At 36.6% G+C, this 11,478-nt stretch overlaps 1 pseudogene; it reads left to right on the top strand.

Moving 5' to 3' along the window:
- The first annotated feature begins 468 nt into the window (after positions 1 to 468).
- Positions 469 to 565, top strand: LOC124900912 (uncharacterized; annotated as a pseudogene).
- The last annotated feature ends 10,913 nt before the right edge of the window (positions 566 to 11,478 follow it).

The following is an 11,478-nucleotide window of genomic DNA, read 5'->3' as shown; positions in this document are numbered from 1 at the left end:
AAAAAAAAAAAAAGACATAAATATTTAGAGAGTATATATAAATATGTAGTTTCTCATGAAACTTAATAGCCATTTTTTGTGGAAATAATTGAATTATATTTATTTTGACATTGCAAAAGTATTGAACAGTACAAATAAGTATATGAACACCATAATTTTTTTCATTTTTTATTTTCAAGATAACATAATTCAAAACATCAGTCAAATGAAATGTAAAAAAAAAATACCTTCAAGTATATAATAAGCCGTTTGTCTGAAACTCTGTAGATCCTTTTGGTATTGCTACAAAACCTCAAAGTTTGGAGGAAAAAATTCACAGGAAAAGTAGATTCTAACTCAAGATAGTAGCCTGATTACATTGATCTCTGCTGATGGACTGAGCACATTTGTCTTCTTTATTTCTTTGTAACATTTCACTAAAATGTAAGCAGTTTTTTAAAAAAGGATACTGTAAAAAGGTGTCATCAGATCCTTTTGTGGTTTGTAAGAATGATGACTGTGTTTTACACTCAAGATGTGCCTTTCTCAAACCTTATTACCATGTTGGCACATTACCTGTCTGATGTGAGGGGAAAGGGGACATTGGTGGATCAAAAATTCTAAAGAATTCCTAGAGGACTGAAATCAGATAGGATTTATTTGAATAGAAAACAAAAAAAGTAAACAAGTATTAGCAGCATTCCTTTTGGGAAATCCTGAAGAAACTCTGAGTTCAAAATCAAGACGTGAAGAGCAGGTGTGGGCCATGGGACGATTAGTGGAAATAAACTTAAAAAATGCTGAGGCCGGGTGCAGTGGCTCACACCTGTAATCCCAACACTTTGGGAGGCCGAGGCGGGTGGATCACAAGGTCAGGAAATCGAGACCATCTTGGCCAACATGGTGAAACCCATCTCTACTAAAAATACAAAAATTAGCTGGGTGTGGTGGCGCACACCTGTAGTCTCAGTTACTCGGGAGGCTGAGGCAGGAGAATCGCTTGAACTGGGGAAGCAGATATTGCACTGAGTCGAGATCGAGCCACTGCACTCCAGCCTAGGTGACAGAGTAAGACTCCATCTCAAAAAAAGAAAAAAAAAAGTGCTGATGTCCCCACCTGGATGCTCCCACCCCTCCCCAGTTGGACATGTCCACATAGGATGTAGATGGGAGAATGCTTTCAGGAGTAATATAATACCTGTAAGAGGAGGAGGGAAGCAGGAGGAAGTGAAGGAGGGAAGTAGGAGGGCAGATGGAGAAGGTGAGCTGTCAATCAGTTGCAACACAGGCCTCAGCCGATTCCACAGGGAGCTCCAAAGCAGTAATGTCCCTTGAGACTTGCCCTGAATTAAGGCAAGGGGTTGAAGTCTTTGTACTAATGGTTGACCACTCTTGGGATGTGGGCTGCTCCTGGTAGTGAGTGTAATTTTGGGTGAGGCCATTTCCTTCAGCAATTCCTGCAGAGGAACTCAGCTATGAGCTCTCAGAAAGCAACACTCCCGACAGCTGAGCAAATGAGTGCCTCAGTCCCGAAGGAAGGATCTGGGTGTTCACCTTGCAGAGCCCATTACCCACCTGAATGTTCTTCTCTAAAGAGAATGTGAATCTGTCTGGAGACGCGCTGATGTGTGCACTGACAGAAAAGAAGAGCAGAGCAGAATTTTATATTATTTCGGATTTTGAAGTCAAACACTAAAGACCTCTCAAAAATGGCAGTTTAGCCTAGGAATGAAGTGCATTATAATTTCTACATCCAGAATAAATCTTCTTTCCTTAAGCAATTTGACTACCTCATTTGCCTCCTACTCTATAGCATTTATAGCATCCACATTTTTTCCCAAACAATGTCTAATAATTAAACAAATGTACCAGTCATCCCAAGAAGGAAGACCAAGGGAAAGATTAGAGAATGGGTCTAGACTCATAAGTGGCCCAGATATTGCAGTCATAATGAATGGATTTAAACCAACTATTATTAACATATTCAAGAAAATATAAAAAATTTTATATCAGAGGACAAATAGATATAGAAAAGAATAAAATGAAAACTCAAGAACCAAAAACACAATAGCTAAAATTAAGATCTCAGTAGATGGGTTTAACAATAGAATGGTTGCAGTTGAAGAGAGTATTCATGAAAAGGAATGTAGATTTGTAGTAAGTAACTAGATTCAAATACCATGAAAAAAAGCGATAGGCTGCAGGAAAGAACAAAAGTATATAGGAGACTGATAGAAATTTCTTACATGTGTGTAGCTGAAGTCCTGAAAGGAAAGGAAGAGGGAGAATAAAGCAGAAACAATAGTTGAAGAAAAAATGGCTGATAAAATTCCCAAACTGACAAAAGACATAAAGCCACATATTCAAATAATATGCAAATTCCAAGCTATATTAAATATAAAGAAAACCTCACCAAGATGTATCATAGTAAAACCATGAAAGCCAAAGACAAAGATATAATCCTAAACTCAGAGGATAAAAGATAAATTAGGAGCAGCAATAAGGCTGACAATGATTTCTCAACAGTGATGATAGAAACAACTACAGAAATAATAAATGGCATCTATCTTTAAAGTACTAAAAGAAAATAACTGCTAACTTCAAATTCTGTTGAGAGGGAGTATTCTTCAAAAGTGAAGATGAAATAAAGACATTCCAGACACACAAAAAGTGAGAGAATTTGTCACCATCGGGCCTGCACTAAAAAAATGGAAGTTCTTTAAGAAGAGGGATAAGGTTTTTGGCAAACTAACACAGGAATGGAAAACCAAATACTGCATGTTCTCACTTATAAGTGGGAGCTAAATGATGAGAACGCATGGACACAGAAAAGGGACAACATGCACTGGGGCCTATTGGAGGGTGGAGGATGAGAGGACGGGGAGGTTCAGGAAAAGTAACTAATGGGTAGTGGGTGATTAAATAATCTGCACAACAAACCCCCATGACCCAACTTTATCTATGTAACCAACCTGCACTTATACTACTAAACTTACAATAAAAGTTAAAAAAAGAAAAAGGATAAAGAGCCGAGATGGAAACATGAAAATATAGGAAGCAATGAAGAGCAATAGAAAGTATAAAATATAATAAGTCTAATATTGACTATACATTGTAATAACAATAATATTAATAATGTCTTGTAGAGTCCAAAATATGTATAGAATAAAGTACACATTACAAAAGATAAACAAGAAATAAATGAATTAAAGTATTCTAAGGTCTTAATATTGTATGGTAAGGAGCAAAAATTTCACATTTTAATAAGTCAAGGAGTCACATTGTGTGACCACTTAGAAGATATTAGATATGTGTAACTAGCACATGGAATGATAAAAATGGAATGATAAAAAATACATGATGGATTTAAGCGAGGGCAAGAAAAAAATTAGGAAAACAGAACAAGAGGGGCAAATAGAAAACAGGAAAATGGTAGTTATAAACCCGATGTATTAGTAGTTATATTATTTATTAATAGACTAATCACTTCAATTATAGAACAAACAAGAACAAAGATTTCAGACTGGATAAGAAATTACCTTAAAAAATTTTTTTTCTATCTTAATTTTTGTGGGTACATAGTAGGTGTATATATCTACAGAGTACATGAGATATTTTGATACAGGCATACAATGTGTAATAATCACATAAGGGTAAATGGGCTATCCATCACCTCAAGCATTTATCGTTTCTTTGTGTTACAAACATTTCTATTGTACTCTTTTTTTAAAATTATACTTTAAGTTCTGGGGTACATGTGCAGAACATGCAGGTTTGTTATATAGGTATACGCAGGCCATGGTGGTTTGCTGCACCCATCAACCCGTCACCTACATTAGGTATTTCTCCTAATGCTACCCCTCCCCTAGTCCCTCACCACCTGATAGGCCCCAGTGTGTGATGTTCCCCTTCCTGTGTCCATGTGTTCTCATTGTTCAACTCCCACTTATGAGTGAGAACATGCAGTGTTTGGTTTTCTGTTCTTGTGATAGTTTGCTGAGAAGGATGGTTTCCAGCTTCATCCATGTCCCTGCAAAGGACATGAACTCATTCTTTTTTATGGCTGCATAGTATTCCATGGTGTGTATGTGCCACATTTTCTTTATTCAGTGTATCACTGATGGGCATTTGGGTTGGTTCCATGTCTTTGCTATTGTGAATAGTGCCACAATAAACATATGTGTGCATGTATCTTTATAGTAGAATGATTTATAATCCTTTGGGTATGTGCCCAGTAATGGGATTGCTGGGTCAAATGGTATTTCTAGTTCTAGGTCCCTGAGGAATCGCCACACCGACTTCCACAATGGTTGAACTAATTTACACTCCCACCAACAGTGTAAAAGCGTTCTTATTTCTCCACACCCTCTCCAGCATCTCTTGTTTCCTGACTTTTTAATGATTGCCATTCTAACTGGTGTGAGATGGTATCTCATTGTGGTTTTGATTTGCATTTCTCTAATGACCAGTGATGATGAGCATTTTTTCATATGTCTGTTGGCTGCATAACTGTCTTCTTTTGAGAAGTGTCTGTTCATATCCTTTGCCCACTTTTTGATCAGTTTTTTTGTTTTTTTCTTGTAAATGTGTTTAAGTTATTTGTAGATTCTGGGTATTAGCCCTTTGTCAGATGGATAGATTGCAAACATTTTCTCCCATTCTGTAGGTTGCCTGTTCACTCTGCTGATAGTTTTTTTGCTGTGCAGAAGCTCTTTAGTTTAATTAGATCCCATTTGTCAATTTTGGCTTTTGTTACCATTGCTTTTGGTGTTTTAGACATGAAGTCTTTGCCCATGCCTATGTCCTGAATTATTTTAAAATGTACAATAAATTATTATTGACTGTAATCACCCTGTTGTGCTATCAAATACTAAATCGTATTCATTCTACCTATATTTTTGTACTCATTAACCATCCCCACTTTACCCGCAAGTCCCCACTACCCTTCCCAGCCTCTTGTAATCATCATTTTACTCTTTATCTCCATGAGTGGATGATTTTAATTTTTAGCTTCCACAAATGAGTGAAAACATGTGAAGTCTGTCTTTCTGTGTCTTGGTTATTTTATTTACTTAATATAATGTCCTCCACTATATTAAGTTCCATCCACGTTGTTGCAAATGACAGTATCTCATTCTTTTTTTATGGCTGAATAGTACACCATTGTGTATATGTACCACATTTTCTTTCCATTTGTCTTTCAATGGACACTGAGGTTGCTTCCAAATCTTGGCTATTGTGAATAATGCTGCAATTAACATGAGAGTACATATATCTCTTCAATATTCTGGTTTTCTTTCTTTGGAGTATATATCTAGCAGTAGGGTTGCTAGATCATATGGTAGTTCTATTTTTAGTTTTTTGAGGAATCTCCATAGTGTTCTCCATAATGGCTGTACTAATTTACATTCTCCCCAACAGAATACAAGTGTTCCCTTTTCTGGTCAGCATTTGTTATTGCATGTCTTTTGGATAAAGGCCATTTTAACTGAGGTGAGATGATATCTCATTGTAGTTTTGATTTGCATTTATCTCATGATCAATGTTATTGAGAACAAGAAATTATCTCTTAATCTCCAAATCAATGTCAATGCCTTTGTTGTTTACTTTCTGAAATGAAGAATATACTTCTTTCCTTTAGAGGTTGTAATATGTTCAAAGTTAGTGTTCTCTATCACCAAAATTGATTGCAAATGTACATCTGTTAACGAAATTAGATTTTATGTATTTCATCTTTGAAAATGTCTTTTTACACTGATAGGTTCTGTCAAATATTGATATTAGTCCATGAGCAGGTAATTTTAACTGAGCACATTAATCATTTGGAAAGCATTTGTGGAATTCCATTAGATTCTTTTCTTGATATTTGTCTTTTTTATTATTTCATTGCATTGCAGATTAAACACTTCCAATTGAAAGTTAGATTGAAGCTCCTTAATTGCTTTAGTTAAACGAAATTCCTTGTGTGTTAAATGAATTTTGAAATATGCAAATTTCCTTTATACTTGCATTGAGGTCTGAAAAACATTGCCAGAACTGTAGCTTGAGCTTGCAAAATATATCTGCTGCAAATTTGTGTGAGAATGAAGATCTCACTTCTTGTTTTAACTTTTGACAGCATGGGAAGTGTATAAAACATACTAGGTGTAACCAAGAGAAATAACTTGGGCCCTAAGAATTTACATTTTATTTATTTAGGTGGCTAATTCTTACTGATAGCACTTGTTAATTGGAAACTTTTATTAATCACAGTAAAACACAATACTATGCTCAATTTAAATTAAATTAACTTTTATATTTAATTTTGTTATCTACAACACAATTTACAGAATGGCTCTATAAAACATTTTTCTCACACATTATTTGTCATAGTTAATTTTTATAGTTCTATAGCTTTTTGGAGTATATTACCATTTCCTTTGTTCTCCTGGAGCGAAGCCTTCATTGGCTTCTGGTTTGGAATTTTATTAAGGAATTTGGAAACCAAAATGGACTAGACAGCATTAGTCTTGTCATTCAAAATGTTGCATCACTGATTTTCACTGCATTGTCACCTTTAAGTCATGCTGAAAAAGGAAATGGCAAAATTAGAAACCCGTTGACCTATTTGCACATTTTTCATTAGAATTAATACTCATTTTTGCTTCTCTGAGCCTTACTTTCTGCATTCGTAAAATGGGGATGATGATACCTATTTTAAGGTCTTTAGGAGAAATAAGTTAGTGCATATAGAGTATTTGCTATTGTAGATCCTCAATATATTTTGCTTCTTGGATATTAAATTACTTAAATGCAACATTAAACGTTACTTTCAAATTTTTGCATACGTGTATTTCTTTTATCTTGGGACATCTCAAAGAATTGGTTGTTTATATGTCAGTTCACTTTCTTTTTTAAAGCATGAATTGCAAATACAGTACAATTTTATTACTCTTAGTCCTCGTGTTTTATATTAGATCTCTAGACTCTGTTCATCTTACACATATGCTTAAGCTTACTTTAATCATATCCTAGGGAAAAATAACTGTACAAAGTATTCTTTAAATATATATGTATATATTTCTAAATATACCACATTATTCATATAATTAAAACACTTTCTGCTCTGTTTTATTATTTCTATAAATATGCTGCCTTTTGGCTAATTAAATATTATAGTGAGAAAATTAGGGAGGAAAATGAAAAACGTATCAGCTACCATTCCTTGAGGAGTATCATTCACAGACCATAGAAAAAGAACAAAACAGTTTGTGGAACACTGCAGCCTGAAACCGATCATTAGCAAACCAATGCCTTTCAAATCCAAAGGGTCTCTTTGTGGGTGGGGGGAATCACTACAACCTGATGTTTCTAAGCATCTCAAGAGGAACACCCCACGGAGCAATATTTTCTTTGGTGGCAACTTGTTAACTCAGGAACCACCGTTTTGTGCTTAACATGTGGTTGAAATTTTAAGCAGAAACCTGTAAATGAGTAGCTTAGTGTCTTAAAACCATATATTTAGCCAGATGAAGGTGTGGCTCCGTGAAAGTTTCTCTTTAGATGCCAATACTTTTAAGAGCAAAGGGTTGGACCACTTTTAGGCATTCTCGCAAGTGCGTAGAGGCTTCTTTCCTCTTCTTTTCTCCCCCAGATACTATTTTCACAGGTTGGAGAAATAGAAGTCACCTTCTATATTTGCCACATTTGAATGTGAAGACTGTGGTGGTTGTTTTAATAACTCAGAAGTATTCACATGTTTCCACCTGAATCTATTCTAAAGAGAAACCACAGTTCCAGAAATAAGCAAAGCAAACAAAAACAGAATAAATGAATGTGATGCCTTTTAGATGGCAGCTATTAAGGTTACTGGTAAAACAATGTTTGACTCTGCTAATATACTTCCCCCATCTTTAAAATGTAAATATAATTAGACGTTTCTGCTAAATTCTATTTCGGTACCCTCTGAATGTCAACGAGAGGTCAGAAGGGGGACACCTGGAGTGCGGGAACACCAGTCCTGTCTGCCTTGTGTTTGGGCCTCGGGAGTGGCTCACTCTGTTGGCCCATTCTCCTAGTCCTCCTTGAAGAGGACACACCACCAGTATTCAGTATTTCTGCTATTAGGGCTTCCCCATCTCTTATTGCTGGCTCTTTCTGAGTGCTCAAAGACTCCAGAGCTTCTTGCTATTATCATCTTTCCAGAGACTACTGAAGAATGAGATATTTACTTACTTGTTTGTTCATTCAACAAGTATCTAGAGATCATCTACACATGATCATAAAGTTATGGGATCCAAGGTTATAAAAAGAAATGAAGAATACAATCTGAAACTTGCAATCCAAGGAGGAAATACTCACACATTTAAAACATTTACACATTTAAATACAAAATTCAAAAGTTATATCACAATGCAAACGCATGAGTTAGTTGAGAAAATGTTAGCCAATGGAGACTGTATTTTCCAGCAGGGTGAATTTGGGCATGGCCAGACTGGCAAGTGTGGAAACCAAGCTATCTGGAAGGGTAGGCCGTATTTAGTGAGGAATCATTTGTTTTCAGGGAACAAAAATCCTCTCAAGATATCTCAAGAAATGGGAACTCAACTAGAGCAATATAATGAAACTGGAATGTCAGAGGCAGCCTCTCTGTCTCTCTTTCCATGTGATCTCTCTGCTCTTTCCTGTCCTAGTCTCTTCTCTACAAACTACCTTCCTTCATAGGGGTCTTGATTTCTGCTCTTCCTTAACCTCAGTTTAGATGCACCTTTTCGGCCAAGATCTCACCTTCAATTCCAACACTGGAAATGAGCCAGAGATAAACTCTTATTAGTAGTAATGACATAAAACTGTGCTTTTGTGTTACTTTTTCCAGAAGCACCCAGAAACCCAGATGTAGGGATGAAGAAGCCAGATGGTATAAATGGTTGTAGAATTGGCAGGATGTAGACTGAATGTGGTGAAAGCAAACAGAAGCAAAGGCGTACAAGGTATGGCAAGAAAGCGTTTCAACTAATATAATCAAAATTGTATTAGGGAGTTCAAAGGGACAAAAACAGTGGGGAAAAGAGGAAAATCCAGGGACTGGAATGAAGAGATCAATAAAATGTATTTAATTTTCCATTTGCACTAGCTTTCCCCTTGTAATTAACATGCACAAGGTACTTTGTCTTGCTGAAAGTGTTACTGTAGTAAATTGATGTGTAACAAGGAATTTCCCAGGAAAATCATCTGTGTTGGAGATAACGGGTAGAAATTGGGAACCAGGAAGTATCTTGATGGCAACTGTAGTGCTTGTGTAGGAGTAGATGGATTAATTTTATGTTAATTCAGTGGTGGGAAGGAAGACTATCCAGTTGGCTAGTAGGTGAGTAGTGCTGAAGATACTATTCTGGGAGGCAATCATTTATCTCTGGTTATTGGTTTAAGAATGGTCAGCTAATGGCATTGAATTTCAGTGGGTAGAAAAGAGTTTGTAAATAAAAATGTGGGTTCTAGTCTGAAATAAGATAGCTAAGGAGTCTATATAGATGGAAGATGATAATTCTGAGCATAAATTTCTACAGGTGCTATGGGGAGTTTATTCTTTAGTGTATTAGAATCCTAGTCATTTTGGTAAAGCATCAGTGTTCATGAGTATGAACTCTTTGTCACACACTGGACACACACACACACACCTCTGAACTTTGTACTTATTCCCAAAGGATACTCCATGGGATATCTGAGCACCAGGAGTGCCGGCACACAAATCTTGAACTAGAAGACCTAAGTTCCAGAGAGCTTCCCATGGTGCCAGTCCTGTGCACACAGGCAGAGAGAGGAAGAGACTGGGTCTCGGGTGGAGGAGTCAGTTGATGATGTCTGTGCCCCTGAATTTGGTGATGAGATAAAATAGAGACCAAAGCCAGGACCTTAATGCATGGACCCTGTGCTGTTTTTGCTAAGAAGAAAATGGCCAGGAGGGAGGGCCAGCACAGATATCTGACTGCAAATTGCATCAGACAAGGTTAATTAGTTAATCTAGTAGTCTGTACATTTTTTACTCTAATAGGCTAAACATTTATTCAGGTGACCAAGTACTATTTGAGACTGAGACCCAGAGGGGGTATGTTGCTTCTGAAGGTTGATACATCCCGGTTGCATGATTCCTAGTTCCTGGCACGTAGGGTCTCCCAAGATTTATAGTTGAGAATATATAGTCTTATTTTCCCAGATGGTATAGTTTTGAATGATATGGATGAAATTGTGGGAAATATTAGTCCAGAATCACAAATGGGTCCATTTTAGTCACTGGCCCTCAGTTCATGTCAATGAATGTGAGCAATCTTTGGATAGCATCTTCTTTGGGAGATGGAAGAACTGTATTTCAAAGGTAAATAAGGATACAATTAAAACAGATGACCTCACATCTGTGTCCATATGCTTGGCATAAGCCTCCAAGTGGCTGTGACTCTTGAACTACGTTCAGAAAATGGCACCCCAGAATATATATATGTCTGTAACATTCCTCATGCCTTTTAAAAATTAAGATAAAATTTACTTAACATAAATTAACTTTTGAAAAGTGTGCAACTCATTGGCATTTAGTACATTCACAATGTTGTGCAATCATCACGTCTATGTAGTTCTAAAACATTTCATCATCCCAAAAGGAAACTCCAAAATCATGAAGCACTTTATGTCTTTTTGTATTCATACCATTTCCAACTTCCTGGAGGTTCTTCTGTCTCCTACCCATCTGTGGAAATTCAAACCAGGTTATGTTGAAACTAAAATAGTTAGAAAAAGGGAATGAGACAGGAACAAGCCTGAGGGTGGGCCCAGTAGCTGGGATCCCAGGTGGACTTACGCCATGTTCTGCCTTCAATCGGAAGTTCTCTTGGGAGATCTGCATTAAGCAGTACGTTCTTGTTTTCTATTTTTTAAACTTTAACTTTTATTTGTATATATATATAAAAATACTTTTACATTAATGCATAATGCAGATTTGATTTTTTTAATTTCAGCTTTTATTTTAGGCACAGGGGGTACATGTGCAGGTTTGTTATATGGGTATATTGCAACCACGTAGTAAGCATAGTACCCAATAGGCACTTTTGCAACCCATTCCCCTTTCTCTCCCTCTCCCCTTCTGGTAGTCTGCAGTGTTTATTGTTCCCGTGTTTACATCCATTGTGCTCAATGGTTAGTTCCCATTTATAAATGATGACATGAGATATTAAAACAGATGCTGGCAAGGCTGAAGAGAAAGGCAATGCTTATACACTCTTGGTGGGAACGTAAATTAGTTCAGCCACTATGGAAAGAAGTTTGGAGATTTCTCAGAGAACTTAAACCAGAACTACCATTTGACCCAGTAGCCCATTACTGGGTATATACCCAAAGGAAATGGATCCTTATACCAAAAAGACACATGCACTCGTATGTTCTTTGCTGTGCTATTCACAATAGCAAATACATAGAATCAACCTGCCTTCCCAGGAATGGTGATTGGATAAAGACGATATGGTTCATACACAC

This window comes from Homo sapiens, chromosome 4, assembly GCF_000001405.40.
Source record: "Homo sapiens chromosome 4, GRCh38.p14 Primary Assembly".
Classification (NCBI taxonomy): domain Eukaryota; kingdom Metazoa; phylum Chordata; class Mammalia; order Primates; family Hominidae; genus Homo; species Homo sapiens.
Note: the sequence above shows the minus strand (reverse complement) of the source record. Positions and strands in the feature narration are given on the sequence as shown.